Source organism: Homo sapiens, chromosome 1, assembly GCF_000001405.40.
Source record: "Homo sapiens chromosome 1, GRCh38.p14 Primary Assembly".
In the NCBI taxonomy this organism is placed as follows: domain Eukaryota; kingdom Metazoa; phylum Chordata; class Mammalia; order Primates; family Hominidae; genus Homo; species Homo sapiens.
The window spans coordinates 156,306,088-156,323,138 of NC_000001.11; the positions used below are offsets into that span (position 1 = coordinate 156,306,088).

At 44.6% G+C, this 17,051-nt stretch overlaps 1 protein-coding gene across 4 annotated transcripts in view; it reads right to left on the reverse strand.

Annotated features, from left to right (window-relative positions):
• Window positions 1-2,880: 2,880 nt before the first annotated feature.
• CCT3 (chaperonin containing TCP1 subunit 3) overlaps window positions 2,881-17,051 on the reverse strand; it is a 29,325-nt gene continuing 15,154 nt past the window's right edge. For all 4 annotated transcript variants that reach the window (NR_036564.2, NR_036565.2, NM_001008800.3 and 1 more), the window contains 8 exons: window positions 14,752-14,938; window positions 12,781-12,930; window positions 11,328-11,460; window positions 11,079-11,160; window positions 5,954-6,134; window positions 4,863-5,108; window positions 4,471-4,602; window positions 2,881-3,216 (listed from right to left, as the gene is read on the reverse strand). Coding sequence is in view for 2 of the 4 variants with exons in the window: in NM_001008800.3 (NP_001008800.1) it covers window positions 3,112-3,216; window positions 4,471-4,602; window positions 4,863-5,108; window positions 5,954-6,134; window positions 11,079-11,160; window positions 11,328-11,460; window positions 12,781-12,930; window positions 14,752-14,938 (1,216 nt within the window). In the remaining 2 variants the exon portion in view is untranslated. The remainder of the gene's footprint in view (window positions 3,217-4,470; window positions 4,603-4,862; window positions 5,109-5,953; window positions 6,135-11,078; window positions 11,161-11,327; window positions 11,461-12,780; window positions 12,931-14,751; window positions 14,939-17,051) is intronic.

The following is a 17,051-nucleotide window of genomic DNA, read 5'->3' on the forward strand; positions in this document are numbered from 1 at the left end:
GCCAAACAGTCCAAAGTGATCTAACATGCCAGAAGGATTTACGCATGTTTAGAAATGGCAAATAAAAACAACTAAAAAAAATAAACAAAAAGGAAAAAGAAAGCAGATATTACAGATGCTTTAAAAAAGAGGTACCAATAGGCCAGTCGCGGTGGCTCATGCCTGTAATCCCAGCACTTTGGGAGGCCGAGGTGGGTGGATCACGAGGTCAGGAGATTGAGACCGTCCTGGCTAACACGGTGAAACCCCATCTCTACTAAAAATACAAAAAATTAGTCGAGCGTGGTGGCAGGCGCCTGTAGCCCCAGCTACTTAGAAGGCTGAGGCAGGAGAATGGCGTGAACCTGGGACGCAGAGCTTGCAGTGAGCTGAGATTGTGCCACTGCACTCCAGCCTGGGTGACAGAGTGAGACTCCATCTCAAAAAAAAAAAAAAAGAGGTACCAATAGGGCCAGGCACAGTGGCTCATGCCTATAACCCCAGCACTTTGGGAGGCCGAGGCGGGCAGATCATGAGGTCAGGAGATGGAGACCATCCTGGCTAACACAAGGTGAAACCTTGTCTCTACTAAAATTATGAAAAATTAGCCAGGCATGGTGGTGTGCGCCTGTAGTCACAGCTACTCCGGAGGCTGAGGCAGAAGAATCACCTGAACCCAGGAGGCGGAGGTTGCAGTGAGCCAAGATCGCGTCACTGCACTCCAGCCTGGGCGACAGAGCGAGACTCTGTCTCAGAAAAAAAAAAGAGGTACCAATAATAGTAAGGAAGACTATGACACTACCCAAGTGCTTAACTATTAGAGCTGAAAACAAAACGAACCTAGACTGAGTAAGGAACAAAGGGGAGGAAAGAATCTACAAGATGTCCAGGCGCGGTGGCTCACGCCTGTAATCCCAGCACTTTGGGAGGCCGAGGCGGGTGGATCACAAGGTCAGGAGTTCGAGACCAGCCTGGCCAAGATGGTGAAACCCCGTCTCTACTACAAATAAAAAATTAGCCGGGTGTGGTGGCAGGTGCCTGTAGTCCCAGCTACCCGGGAGGCTGAGGCAGGAGAATTCCTTGAACCTGGGAGGCGGAGGTTGCAGTGAGCCAAGATCGTGCCACTGCACTCTAGGCTGGGTGACAGAGTGAGACTCCATCTCAAAAAAAAAAAAGAATCTACAAGATGACTAGCTTTCCTAGGACTTTCATCATTTCTCAGGTGTTATGGGCAATATTTCACTATCTTGTTTTACTAATTAAAGAATTAACTCATCGGCAAGGCGTGGTGGCTCACGCCTGTAATTCCAGCACTTTGGGAGGCCGAGGCAGGACGATCACGAGGTTAAGAGATGGAGACCATCCTGGCCAACCAACATGGTGAAACCTCGTCTCTATTAAAAATACAAAAAAATTAGCTGGGCATAGTGGCATACGCCTGTAGTCCCAGCTACTCAGGAGGCTGAGGCAGGAGAATTGCTTGAACCCGGGAGGCAGAGGTTGCAGTGAGCTGAGATCACACCACTGCACTCCAGCCCAGGCGACAGAGCGAGACTCCCGTCTCAAAAAAATAAATAAAAAAAAGAATTAACTTATCATCTCTGAGGAGTTTAAAGCTCCAAGAGAATTAAAACACTGCAAGCAGAGGCAGAGATTTCAGCAAAAGGCAGGTAGGCTTATTTCTGAGTCCCCTGCAGAAGCGTATAGGCAGAGCTTTGGTTGACCTAAGCAGGAAGCTAAAGCCATAGGCATCTCACAAGCCCCTTTCCATCCCACACCTCAGATCAGTCAGGATAGCCAGCTATAAATGCATGGCTTCCTTGGCCGGGCATGGTGGCTCACACCTGTAATCCAAGCACTTTGCAAGGATGAGATGGGTGGATCACCTGAGGTAGGGAGTTTGAGACCACCCTGACCAACACAGAGAAACCCCATCTCTAAAGCATGGCCTCTAGAACCACAGTGCCTACATATGAATTCCAGGTCTGCCACTTACCAGCTTTGTGACCCTTTAACAAGTTACCTATCTATGCATTAGATTTCTCCCTCACAAAATGGGGGATAACATTACCTGTCTTAGAGGGCTGTTGTGAGGATCCATTAGTTAACATTCAAATGACTAGAACACATCTGTTAGACAGTACTTACCATTATTCTACCAAGTATTCAACTTTATGTGACTAGGTCCCATGGTCAGGGAAGAGATAAACAAGGCTAAATGTATGAGTCATAAGGACAGATGGGAGGGTGAAAAGCCCAGTAGACAAGTGGAACACTGAAGAAATCAAAGGCTAGTACCACCTAGCCTCTAGCATCCTGGGACCACTACTCAGATTTTTTTTCTCTCCTTGATAAAAACAAATGGAATTTAAATATTTTGTTTCTGCTAGCAGAAAGGCAGAGAGGTCTGACTGTGACAGGATACTGGCATGAGAAAAGGTCAGCAAGCCAAAATGAAGACTGGAATTGTAAAAACATTGGAAGAGGGCAGAGAAAAATAACTCATGGTAAAGGGAGAATTCTGAAAACTACACCAAAAAAAAAAAAAAAGTTATATGTCCTTTAGGACACATGCCAGAGCCCTAGGATGTACTGGGTGTTCCTCTACATACAACCACATATGGGGAACACCCATGCTTTAGACAGGTTCCTCTTGTTCTTTGGGCAGTGAATGCAAAATGGTGCTTTGTAAGCTTTACAGTATTATCCTTTGAACTCCAAAAGGGTCTTTCCAACCAAAATTTACTGAGAAGTCTGAAGAATACTCCCTCAAGAAGGCAAAAGAGTCTAAATGCCCTCATTCCAGGTCTCCTTTCCCTCCCCAGTAAGGTTTTCTGCCTCCACCTATTTGCCAGGAGATAAGAGAGATGGCCCAAGGTTGAAAAACACATAACAACTTTCTCAAATGACTTAGATTTAATCATCGGAAGCAAACTAAATGGAAACCTTACAATAGAGAAGAATTACATGTCAGTGTCTTTTGGAAAACTGAGCTGGGACAGAAAGGGACTGGGGGCTGCCCCCCAACCTGATCCCTTCTGAACAAAGACGTCCACAGTGTTCCTGGCACTCTGGCTCAGGAAAAGGGGAGACTCTGCTGGTTCTGTGCATTGAAGTAGCCTTGCCTAGCACTCACTCCTGGCCAGCATCAGGAGCCCCGCCTTGCCGGCTCTGGTCATCGCCTTTCTTTTTGTGGCCTGAAACGATGTCATCAATTCGCAGTAGCAGAACTGCCGTCTAGGAGAAAAACCACAGATGCAAAGAGGTCAGCAGAGAAGGAAAGGACACTTTTCTTTCCTTTAGATCTATCACCTAGATGCTACTATGGAACTGCCATTTTGTCTGAAATCTACCTTTTCAGTCTTTTATTTTTTTTTGAGACGCAGTTTCCCTCTTATCACCCAGGCTAGAGTGCAGTAGCATGATGTCGGTTCACTGCAACCTCCGCCTCCCGGGTTCAAGCGATTCTACTACCTCAGCCTCCCAAGCAGCTGGGATTACAGGCCTGCACCACCATGCCTGGCTAATTTTGTATTTTTAGTAGAGATGGGGTTTCCTCATGTTGGTCAGGCTGGTCTTGAACTCCTGACCTCACGTGATCCACCTGCCTTAGCCTCCCAAAGTGCTGGGATTACAGGCGTGACCCACCATGCCCGGCCTTTTCAGTCCTGAATGTAAAATGCAGTTCTCAGCCAGGTGTGGTGGCTCACACCTGTAATCCTAGCACTTTGGTTGGTCAAGGCAGGTGGATCACAAGGTCAGGAGTTCGAGACCAGCCCGGCCAACATGGTAAAACCCCGTCTCTACTAAAAATAGAAAAAATTAGCCGGGTGTGGTGGCAGGCACCTGTAATCCCAGCTACTTGGGAGGCTGAGGCAGGAGAATCACTTGAACCTGGGAGGTGGAGGCTGCAGTGAGCGGAGACCATGCCACTGCACTCCAGCCTGGGCAACGGAGCGATAGTCTGTTTCAAAAAAAAAAAAAAAAAAAAAAAAAAATGCACTTCTCCCTAAGCAAGTGATACAGATTGTGCTATATTATCTTGCTTTTAGTACGAGCTAAAGATAATTAAAGAGATAGAATGCCTTGGAATACCTTAGAGGAATATTCTGCCTTCTTTACCCCTCCCTTCAAGACTAGACCAGGCTGGGCATGGTGGCTCATGCCTGTAACTCCAGCACTTTGGGAGGCCAAGGTGGGTAGATCATCTGAGGTCAGGAGTTCGAGACCAGCCTGAACAACATAGTGAAACCCTATCTCTACTAAAAAATACAAAAATTAGCTGGGAGTGGTGGTGCATGCCTGTAGCCCCAGCTACTTGGGAGGTTGAGGCACAAGAATTGCTTGAACCCGGGAGGCGGAGATTGCAGTGAGCCGAGATCACACCACTGCACTCCAGCCTGGGTGACTGAGACTGCGTCTCAAAAATAAATAAATAGATAAATAAATAAATTAATTAAAACAGCGTGTACATATCTTAGGGTGCCTTACCTCCACTGCTGTCTTATAAGTCTGCAGCTTCACAGCCAATGGCTCCCATATGCCCAGTTCCTTCATGTCCACCAAAGTACCCGTCTCACCATTTACACCCCAGGTCTCACAGTTCTCCTGGGTGTGCTTGGCCTGCAATTGAAGCAAGAAGTAAAGGGGAAAATAAGTTAACAGGAAACATCAGGTAAGAAATGAAGTAAAAAACAATGGACCAGTATGGAAGGGACAGGGAAAAATGGCAATGACAGCAAACAAGTCAAAGACTAAAAGGAGAGAAAGATTTCAAGGAATAGACTATAAAGAGAATTTGGATAGCCAGATAAGAATCTTCCCCTCAGGGCAAACACAGCTTTCCCTGCTCCATCAAGAGAAAAGCTTGGAGAGGAACTCACCCGAAGGGAGGTAAGTAGACGGATGGTGCTGGCCCCACAGTTCTGGATCAGGGTACGAGGAATGACCTCTAGGGCCTGGGCAACAGCCCTGTATGGCCATTGTTCCACACCAGTCATGGCCTTGGATTTTTCTGTCAAGGCATGGGCCACAGCCATCTCGGAGGCCCCACCCCCTGGCACCAGCTGAGGGTCCAGGAGAACATTGCGACACACTTGCATGGCATCCTGGAGGTTGCGTTCTACTTCCTTGGAGAAGCAAACAGACAGTATGAAGCCAAAGCTTGATGACTCATAAAATCGGAGGCACCAAAAGGACTTCCTAACTGCCAAAGTTAGTAAACCACCAAGGAGGGCAACTAGAAAAGGTCCTTGGAACCCCTACTGGGCAGGGCAGATTATTTACCTGAGAATATATAACACACGACTATAATATAGGATGGCGGGGAGTGGTATCTGCAAAGGGTTTGGGGGTGTCACCCAACCATAAAGTTAGGTCTTTGTCCATTATGCTAGATTAAGAGCAATAACCTATTTCATCCCTTGCCAGTTATATGGAAATAAACAGCATGTATCTTGATAGATAAGAGCCATAACCTATTCCACCCCTTCCTAGTTGTATCTTTTAGGAGGTTGCATGGTGTTGTACACTCTCCTACTTACTAGCTATGTGCCTTTGGGAAAGTTACTTAGCCTCAATGAGGAAAAAAAAGTAATATTTATAACTTCAACGTAAAAAATAAGAAAACAGTTGTTGCTAGGGAGTAGGAGATGAGATATCTTGTTTGATGGGTACAGAGTCTCAGTTCTGCAAGATGAAAAAGTTCTGAAGATCTCTTGCACAATAACATGAATATACTTAACATTACTGAACTGTACAATTAAAATGATTAAGATGGTAAATTTTATGCTTACTACAATTTTTAAAATTTTAAATTATTTAATTAAAAAAAGGAAGCAGAAAAGGAATTTGTGGCTATAGGTCCAAATTAAATAGCTATAAATGGACCACAGAATTATTTTAGGCCCTTTGGGAAACTCTCAAGAAGTTCAGTGATCTACTTCATCTGGTCATACATCCAAGGCTGACTCACCGAGAGAATCTCTTTGCTAGCCCCCCGGAGGAGAATGGTGCAGGCCTTGGGGTCTTTGCAGTCAGTGATGAAAGTAAAGTATTCATCTCCAATTTTCTTGATTTCCAACAGGCCTGCTCCTGTTCCAACATCATCTTCTCTCAGTTCCTCTGGTCGGCTGACTATCCGGGCCCCACAGGCTCTAATGGACGGAAGAGGTGGGGAGAATCAGATGATTTCAGATACTTGTACCCATTTCCCTAGTCTCTAGGGTCTGTAGCTAGGGATAAGGGCAAAAGTGGATTGTTGGAAACATCACTTAAGAGGTCTTGCCTGTCCGGTGAAAAAGATTTTCAGGGGGCCAGGCACAGTGGCTCACACTTGTAATCCCAGTACTTTGGGAGGCCAGGCAAAAGGATTGCTTGAGCCCAGAAGTTTGAGACCAGCCCGGGCAACATAACAAGACTCTGTCTCTACAAAAAATAAAAAACTAGCTGGGCACAGTGATGCATACCTGTAGCTCCAGCTACTCAGGAGGGTGAGGTGAGGGATCCCTTGAAACCATGATATCAAGGATGCAGTGAGCTGTGACCATGCCACTGCACTCCAGCCTAGATAACAGAGTGGGACCCTATCTAAAAAAAAACAAACACAAAAACCCCAAAAAACAACAACAAAAAAAACTGAAGCCATCATTGCAGTTACAGCAGCACTGCAGCTATGCCAGCAGCTGTGAAAACCCTGTGCTTTTTGAGAAATATACCTATTAATCTCATATTGAAAATGCAGGTTTTATATAGGTAAGAACAGCATACCTATATACACTAATATGATTTGAAAAAATGTGAAATCATTATGATACCTCATCAGAAAAGGAAGGTGAAAGATCTAAAGCTGGAGAATTTAATGCCAGCAAAGGATGGTTTGATAATTTTAGAAAGAGGTTTGTTTGGCTTTTAAAATGTCAAGATAGCAGGAAACAGCTTCTGCTGACCAAGAAACAGCAGACATGTTCCCAGATACCATTAAGAAAATGATTGAGGGCTGGGCTTGGTGGCTTACGCCTGTAATCCTAACACTTTGGAAGGCCGAGGTGGGTGGATGACTTGAGGTCAGGAGTTCGAGACCAGCCTGGTGAAACCCCGCCTCTACTAAAAATACAAGAAAAAATTAGCCAGGTGTCATGGCACACGCCTGTACTCCCAGCTACTTGGGAGCCTGAGGCAGGAGAATCACTTGAACCCAGGAAGCAGAGGTTGCAGCGAGCTGAGATTTCACCACTGCACTCCAGCCTGGGTGACAGAGTAAGATTCTGTCTCAAAAAAAAAAAGAAAAAAAAAAAAAGAGAGAGAGAGAGAGAGAGAAATCATTGAGGAGAAATGGTATCTGCCTAAATACAATTTTAATGTATATGAAAGCGACCTAATCAGGAAGATTATGCCACAAATGACATTTATTAGTAAGAAAGAGAAGGGAGCACCAGGATTTTGTGCAAAGGAGTTAGCCTGTCCCTTGGGCAGTCAAGTTTATGTCTTGTAGTGTACAACCAGGCCTGGACAACAAGAATACTTTTTCTGGATTACTTCCATCGATGCTTTGTCCTTGAAGTCAGGAAGTACTTTTCCAGAAAGGGACTGCCTTTTAAAGTGCTTCTGATATTGGACAATGCCCCTGGCTACCCAGAGCCCCATGAGTTCAACACTGAAGACATTCAAATACTCTAGACCACACAGTCAGAGAAGGACCTGTAAGGCTTATTACACATGGTACTTCATGTAAAGAACCGTCGGCTGGGCACGGTGGCTCATGCCTGTAATCCCAGCACTTTGGGAGGCCAAGGCGGGCGGATCACGAGGTCAAGAGATTGAGACCATCCTGGCCAACATGGTGAAAACCCGTCTTTCCTAAAAATACAAAAATTAGCTGGGCATGGTGGTGCGCACCTGTAGTCCCAGCTACTCGGGAGGCTGAGGCAGGAGAATCGCTTGAACCAGGAGGCGGAGGGTGCAGTGAGCCAAGATCACACCACTGCACTCCAGCCTGGCAACAGAGCGAGACTCTGTCTCCAAAAAAAAAAAAAAAAAAGTCAACATTATGAAAGAGAACCCCAACAAAGAGAACATGATGAAAATATGAAAGGATTACATTACTGAAGATGCCACAGTTGTTATAGATAAAGCTTATGAAAGCCATCAAGCCCAAAACAATAGATTTCTGCAGGAGCAAACTGTGTCCAGATGTTGTACATGACTTCGTAGGATTTATGACAGAGCCAATCAAGGAAATCATGAAAGAGACTGTGGATGTGGCTAAAAAAACTGGCATAGCGGTGGTGAAGGGTTTCAAGATATGAATCTTGGAGAAACTCAAGAGCTAACAGACATTACATCAGAGGAATTAACACAAGATGACAGGCCAGGTGCAGTGGCTCACGCCTGTAATCCCAGCACTTTGGGAGGCTGAGGTGGGTGGATCACCTGAGGTCGGGAGTTCAAGACCAGCCTGACCAACATGGAGAAACCCCGTCTCTACTAAAAATACAAAATTAGCTGGGCTTGGTGGCTCACGCCTGTAATCCCAGCTACTCGGGAGGCTGAGACAGGAGAATCGTTTGAACCCAGGAGGCGGAGGTTGTGGTGAGCCAAGATTGTGCCACTGCACTCCAGCGTGGGCGACAAGAGCGAAACTCCATCTCAAAAAAATAAAAAATAAAAACAAAAAAAACCAAACAGAAGATGACTTGATGGAGACGACTGCTTCCAAAGCAGTGCCAGACGATGAGGAAGATGATGTAGAAGCAGCAGTGCCAGAAAACAAACTGACATTAGACAATCTGGCAGAAGGCTTCTGATTATTCAAGACTGCTTTTGACTTCTTTTATGATATGGACCCTTCTATGATAGAGGCACTGAAACTGAAGCAGTGGAAGAGGGACTGGTACTATACAGAAATATTTTTAGAGAAACAAAAAAGCAGAAGTCAGACAAATCACGATGTATTTCCATTGAGTTACACTGAGTGTGCCTCCTGCCCATCCTGCCTCCCCTTCTACCACTCTTCTGCCTCTGACACCCAAGACAGAAAGACCAGCCCGTTCTTCCTCCACAGCCTATTCAACATGAAGATGATGATGACCTTTTTGATGATCTACTTCCACTTAAGGCATAGTAAATGTGTTATCTCTTCCTTATGATTTTCTTTTTTTGGAGACGGACTTTCACTCTTGTCGCCCAGGTTGGAGTGCAATGGCACCATCTCAGCTTACTGCAACCTCCGCCTCCTTGGTTCAAGCAATTCTCCTGCCTCAGCCTCCCGAGTAGCTGGGATTACAGGCATGCACCACCACACCTAGCTAATTTTTGTATTATTATTAGAGATGGGGTTTCACCATGTTGGCCAGGCTGGTCTTGAACTCCTCACCTCAGGTGATCCACCTGCCTTGGCCTCCCAAAGTGCTGGGATTACAGGCATGAGCCACCGTGCCCTGCCCTTATGATTTTCTTAATAACATTTTCTCTAGCTTACTTTATTTAAGGGAATACAGTATATAACACATATGATATACAAAATATGTGATAGTTAATTGTGTTATTGGTAAGGGTTCGGGTCAACGGTCAGCTATTAGGAGTGGGGGAGTCAAAAAATTATACATGGATTTTCAACTCCTTGGGGACTGATTCCCCTAACCCCCAAGTTGTTCAAGGGTCAACTGTACACTTAAGGCAACTAGTCATCACTACTATAACCAGATATAGTTGAATTCAAAATATACTTTGTGGTTACTAAAATCTGGACAAATTAGTTCTCATGCATATCTAACATGTACATATTTCAACTAGAGAATTAGAACCTGCAAAAAAGAAAGATAAAAGAAAAAAATTAACATGTCTATACTATATAATGGTAACTTCTAGATATAACCCATCCTGTACTGCCCAGTTGAGTCTCCAGGCGAATAATAAAGACTGTACCAAAGATGCAAAGGTCAAGCAAGGAGGAAGGCGAATAAACATGTAAGTAGAGTTGGCCCTCTATATCCGCAGGTCCCGCATCCAGATTCCACCAACCATGCACTGATAACATGGCAGGGGGGGTGGGGTGGGGGGATGGACAATAATACAACGGCAAAAAATAATATAAATTTTAAAGACAATATAGTATAGCAACTATTTATATAGCATTTATGCTATATTAGGCATTATAAGCAATCTAAAGGTGATTTAAAGTGTATAGAAGGATGTGTATAGGTTATACACAAATACCATACCATTTTATATAAGGGTTAAGCATCCACAAACTTTAGTATTCAAGGGGGCGGGGATCCTAGAACCAATGCCCTGTGGATATCAAGGGATGACTGCATACGTCTGACCGAAGTTTAATGAATGTAGGACTAATTGCTTGTCACTCCCTCCAACTCATGGCCATGTGAAGTCAACTATGTGTATGCATGTTAATACCCTTTGGGGTATAAAAGTATAAAATATGATTTGGATCTGTGATATATTATGTTGGGGTAGATTTGTCAGCTTTTTGATAAATTAAAAATGAATGAACTTTGCTGGGCATGGTGGCGCATGCCAATAGTTTCAGGTACTGGAAAGGCTGACAACAGGATGACTGCTTGAGCCCAGGAGTTTGAGACAGGCCTAGGTAACACAGCAAGACCTTGTCTATTAAAAAGAATGGTCTATGAGCACAGACATCAGTGCAGAAGTAGTGAATGCAATCTAGAATCGCATAAATCGCAGCTAAGGATGTAGCTGAGGAAACTGATGGTTCTGCTATAATCCAGGCCACTTAGGATACTCTGGAAATGTTCATTCAAAAATCATCATAATGACATTAAAGAAAACCTCTTAGATAGGCAGTTATTTAGAAATGTAACGGACACCCACCAAGGTAGCAATTACAAATGTCTAAGCACAAGCTGCTCACTAATGGTTAGGGGCAGTACAGATGAGACTCACGCAGTAAATAACTGTTGGACTAGAGGACTTCTGAAGAGGGCAGGCAGCTAAGCCAAGGTTATTTCTACCTGTTACTATATCCTTTATTAAACCTTTTCAGGTAATGATGACTGTTACGCAACTACAAAAAGGAAACACACGGGAAGAAAAGTCTTGTTTTTACCTGGCCTACTCACCTAGCAATGCGATTATTGTCTGTCTTCCGGACTCTGCGGATGGCTGTGATATTGGCCCGCATAAGGTAGTGCTGAGCTAAATCTACAAATCCAAGAGTAGAGATGTCAAGCTGGGTTCTGAACTGGTTTTATAATCAAAGTACTCTTAACCATGACACTATTACGCCCCTGCCAAACATGAGGGGAGAAAACAAATCACCCACCCTCGTCTACCTCAAAGGTAGGCTGGAAAAAGTAACAAAGTCCCACCTGAGATGCCCTTTTCAGTGATGACCACATCGGGCTTCAGTTGGATAATGTCCTCACAGAGCTGCTGGATGTACTCTTCCTCCATCTGGAGAATTCGGGTGAAGTCCTCCTCTCGTGTAATCTCAATGTCAGTCTGTGTGGTAAAGAAAAGACACTGATTTTAAAATCCCTGGACTGGTGAAGCTCTAAGGGTCATATTATACTCCTTCCACCCACCTCTCCCACGTATCTCAGAGTCAGAATTATGTTAAAGCCATGACCTCAACACCTCTGTAAGCCAATTTAGCTTTAGTTTTGCTTTTTTTTTTTTTTGAGACGGAATCTTGCTCTGTCACCCAGGCTGGAGTGTAATGGCGCGATCTTGGCTCACTGCAAGCTCTGCCTCCTGGGTTCAAGCGATTCTCCTGCCTCAGCCTCCCGAGTAGCTGGGACTACAGGTGCCTGCCACCACCCCCAGCTAACTTTTTTTTTGTATTTTTAGTAGAGACGGGGTTTCACCACGTTAGCCAGGATGGTCTCGATCTTCTGACTTCGTGATCCGCCCGCCTCTGCCTCCCAAAGTGCTGGGATTACAGGCGTGAGCCACCACGCCCGGCCAGCTCCAGTTATATCATTATAAAACAACCAGAACTGAAAGTCACACAGTAATTAGTGTTGAGTTTGGCCTTTCTAAGGTCTCTGACCACCCAGTCCAATCCTACATCTGTCCTGGCAGTGTGCAGGAAAATCCTGGGTCTTAATTCTTCCCACTAATTGATTCTTATTCTTTCCAAATGTGATGGAGCCTTGTGAGCCTCCTGCCCTCTAGAATTTTTTTTTTTTTTTTTTTGAGACAGGGTCTCACTGTTGCTCAGGCTGGAGTTCAGTGGCGTGATCACAGCTCCTTGCACCCTTGACCTTCTGGGTTCAAGCAATCCTCTCACCTCAGCCTCCCAAGTAGTGGGGACTACAGGCACATGCCACCACGCCCAATTAATTTTTTTTAAATAAAGACAGTATTCGACATGTTGCCTAGGCTGGTCTTGAACTCCTGGGCTCGAGCCATCCACCTGCCTTAGCCTCCCAAAGTGCTAGAATTATAGGTGTGAGCCACTGCATTAAGCTGAAATTCTCCTTTAGTACTTCAAAGCTGAATTAACTCCTACCTTATGTTCCCCTGGTGCATTAGGAAAGGCAGCATGATCGTATAAAACAAGCCAAACACAACCAGGTTCAAATCTTGATTTTGGCCAATACTAGCTGTATTCCTCAAGCAATTAACCTAACTTGTTTGAGCTTCAGATCCCTCATCTGTAAAATGAAATCAATACCAACTATTCTAAAGGATTGTTCTAAGAGTCAGTGTACACTATGCACCCAGAAGGCATGCAATAAACATACGTTTTATTTCTGTTGTTCATATTTGCAGTCAGATTCTTGCATCTACTTTAAGGAACAAGGCCAAGAACCTTACCTGGCTTTCTCCTTTCTTGTATTCCAGAGAAGAATCCAGCAGCACAATGCGAGGGTTCTTGATATAGCGCCGCATACGTGGATGGGTCACATCCTTGTTAATCATGACTCCACGCAAGACACAGGAGTCTTCAATGATGCCTCCAGGTATCTGAACAAAAGACAACTGCACTTTAATCCACAATCAAGAGACAATTTCTTAATTTCCTTCCCAGATGTTCATCTTTCCCAAACAGCTAGTGTTTCAGGTTTTTTTTTTTTTTTGAGATGGAGTCTCGCTCTGTCGCTCAGGCTGGAGTGCAGTGGTGCAATCTCGGCTCACTGCAAGCTCCGCCTCCCGGGTTCACGCCATTCTCCTGCCTCAGACTCCCAAGTAGCTGGGACTACAGGCGCCCGCCACCACACCCGGCTAATTTTTTTTTTTGTATTTTACTAGAGATGGGGTTTCACCATGTTAGCCAGGATGGTCTCGATCTCCTGACCTCGTGATCCGCCCGCCTCGGCCTCCCAAAGTGCTGGGATTACAGGCATGAGCCACCACGCCCGGCCCAGTGTTTCAGGTTTCTAAAGTACCTTTCTTTGATGAAGCTCAAAAATATTATTGGAATCACATTTTTTTCCCATTAGGAAATACACCAATTTTAGACCATGACACTCAACTTGAAGGTCTGCTGAGACTCACTGAAATTCAATGACTTGACAAAAGACTTAGAGGGGCTTATGAGCCAGGCACAGTGGTTCACACCTAAAATCCCAGCTACTCAAGAGGCTCAGGCAGGAGGATCCCTTGAGGCCGGGAGTTCGAGACCAGCCTGGGCAACACATTGAGACCCAATTGCTATTTAAATAAATAAATAAGGGCTTAGGTCTCTCCAATTAAAAAAATAAATATATTGCCAGAGAATTTTAGGCTTGGGGCTCCATCTACTGGCCACAAGCTATACTACTAAACTTTTGGATCTTAATGAAATTTAGTGGACAGGAGAGAAAGCTTTCTGGGGCTTACTATTTTAATAGCACTACATAATAGAGCCCTTGTTAAGCTTATATCCTGACCAAATGACTGATGTATGCAAATACACAAACATGGAGACACCAATAAGCCTGTCCCTTGTCCTCATAAACCTTGTGTAGGGATAGCAGTGAAGGTAACAACAAAACTATTTGAAGAAATTCCTACTTGGTAGCCTCTTATAGGTTTTTGTTTCCAGGCAGCAAGTATAGTTCTTCCTAGTTCTAACTAAAGATACCTTGCTTTGGTCAGGCGCAGTGGCTCACCCTATAATCCCAGCACTTTGTGAGGCAAAGGTGGGCAGATCACTGAGGTCAGGAGTTCGAGACCATCCTGGCTAACATGGTGAAACCCCGTCTCTACTTAAAATACAAAAAGAAATTAGCTGGGCGTGGTGGCAGGCATCTGTAATCCCAACTATTTTAAAGGCTGAGGCAGGAGATCACTCGAACCCGGGAGGTGGAGGCTACAGTGAGCCGAGATCGCACCACTGCACTCTAGCCTCTGCGCGACAGAGCAAGACTCCATCTCAAAAAAACAAACAAACAAAAAACATACCTTGCTCTGATTTAAAACTATTTCATTCAAGTAGGGTATGATGGCTTATGCCTATAATCCCAGCACTTTGAGAGCCTGAGGTGGGAAGATCACTTGAGGCCAGGAGTTCAAGACCAGCCTGGGCAACATGAGACCCTCATCTCTACAAAAAGAAAAAAAATTTGCTGGGCACAGTGGCATGTGCCTGTAGTCCTAGCAAATCAGAGGATTTGCTTGAGGCCAGGAGTTTGAGGCTGCAGTGGGCTGTGACTGTGCCACTATACTCCAGCCTAGGCAACAAGGTGAGACTCTGTCTCAAAAACAAAACAAAACAACGGCATGAAAAACAGACTATTTCCTCACAAGTGAGATGACTCATGCTAACATATAATTTGACCCAATGTATACACTTTGAAAGTTTACCTTTTCCACTCTTGCATATTTTTTTATGTCAATCTCTTTCCGACCATTCTCCTCAAACTGTACCATCTTGACAGCATCCAGGGCAATGTTGCAAGCCAAAGATGACCACCGACTGATGGCTTTGGTAGTAATAGAGCTGTTGATGATGTTCAGCATCATATCACTGTCACTGATGTCGACTGGGATACTAGAGAAAAGAAAACCAGACGATATGTGAAGAAGGCATGTTAGATATGTAGAGATGTGCCTTATCTATACCTCAGTGACTATAATAATGGACCAAGAGGCAGAACAAGGGGATTTGTTCCTTTGGAGGAAACTAAAAGGACATTAGGAGGTAACCTTTGTCCATTCCTCTGCCTTTCAGCAAGATTACAACTCATCTGTAGACGGTGCCTTAATTCCCTGAGCAACCCTTTACACTTACATACAAAGATTATAGTAAAATAATTTGTTCCTTATCTTCTGCTTCAACCAAGTAAACTTTTCAACTTTTACAACTCAGGTCAAGACACATTTTTTTTTATGAAACTTTATCCCATAACTAGCCAACTTTAAGAGTTTTATCAAATCATTCATTTGAACAGCAAATTTTATTTTTAGCTCATGGTGTGTCACAGTGGTCAAAGATGACCACCAACTGGTCATCTTTGTGTTTTTATGTTACTGTAAACACATTTTATGTATTTACCATTTTTATATTACTTTCACTCCTCACAAGATATTTTCACATAATGCTAAAATCTCTTTTTTGGCTGTGCACGGTGGCTCACGCCTGTAATCCCAGCACTTTGGGAGGCCAAGGCGGGCAGATCACTTGAGGTCAGGAGTTCGAGACCAGCCTGGCCAATATGGTGAAACCCCATCTCTATTAAAAATACAAAAATTAGCCAGGAGTGGTGGCATGTGCCTGTAGTCCCAGTTACTCCAGAGGCAGAGGTTGCAGTGACCTGAGATCATGTCACTGCACGACAGCCTGGGTGACAGAGTGAGATTCCGTCTCAAAAAAACCCCAAAATAAACAAAATCCCTCTTTTAACAGTGAAAGGCACATAATATACCAATTATTAAATGGTTGAATTATGGACTTTTGGGAAGAAGCAATGACTCCAAAAATGGTATCTAAGATAAAGGGGGCTGGGTGCCATGCTTCACGCCTGTAAACCCAACACTTTGGAAGACTGAGGATAGCTGGAAGCCCAGAGTTAAAAACCAACCTGGGCAACATAGCAAAACCTCATCTCTATGAAAAATTTAGCAGGGCGTGGTGGACATACCTATAGTCCTAGCTACTTGGGAAGCTGGGGCAGGATTGCTTGAGCCCAGGAGCTGGAAGCTGCAGTAAGCTGTGACTGCACCACCGCACTCCAGCTTAGGCAACAGAGTGAGACCATATCTCTAAAAAATAATTTTTTTGGGAGGCCGAGGTGGTAGGATCACCTGAGGTCAGGAGTTTGAGACCAGCTTCACCAATATGGTGAAACCCCATCTCTACTAAAAATACCAAAATTAGCTAGGTGTGGTGGTATGCGCCTGTAGTCCCAGCTACTTGGGAGGCTGAGACAGAATTGCTTGAACCGAAGAGGCGGAGGTTGCAGTGAGCCGAGATCATGCCACTGCACACTCCAGCCTGGAAAACAGAGCGAGACCCCCCGCCACCCCAAAAAAATTTTTTTAATAAGATTAAAGTGTTCTAGGTAGGCAGTTATTACTTGATTAAAAAAAAAAAATATTTCAGGCCAGGCACGGTGGCTCACGCCTGTAATCCCAGCACCTTGGGAGGCCGAGGCAGGCGGATCACCTGAGGTCGGGAGTTTGAGACCAGCCTGACCAATGTGGAGAAAAACTCCGTCTCTACTAAAAATACAAAATTAGCCAGGCGTAGTGGCACATGCCTATAATCCCAGCTACTCGGGAGGCTGAGGCAGGAAAACTGCTTGAAGCCAGGGAGCAGAGGTTGTAGTGAGCTGAGATCCAGCTATTGCATTCCAGCCTGAGCAACAAGAGTGAAACTCCGTCTCAAAAAAAAGGCTTTCTAAGCGTGAAGCTCCACACAATAAAACCTTTGGGTACCTCTACATTCTCACAGAGCTTACTGCATAAAAATAATTAGATCAAACACCTCATTCTTAAGTGTGCCAGACAAAGATATTAATGTACAACTTGTTTAAGAGCAGGCAGTATATGGCCAGGCGCGGTGGCTCACGCCTGTAATCCCAGCACTTCGGGAGGTCAAGGTGGGTGGATCACCTGAGGTTGAAAGTTTGAGACCAGCCTGACCAACATGGAGAAACCCTGTC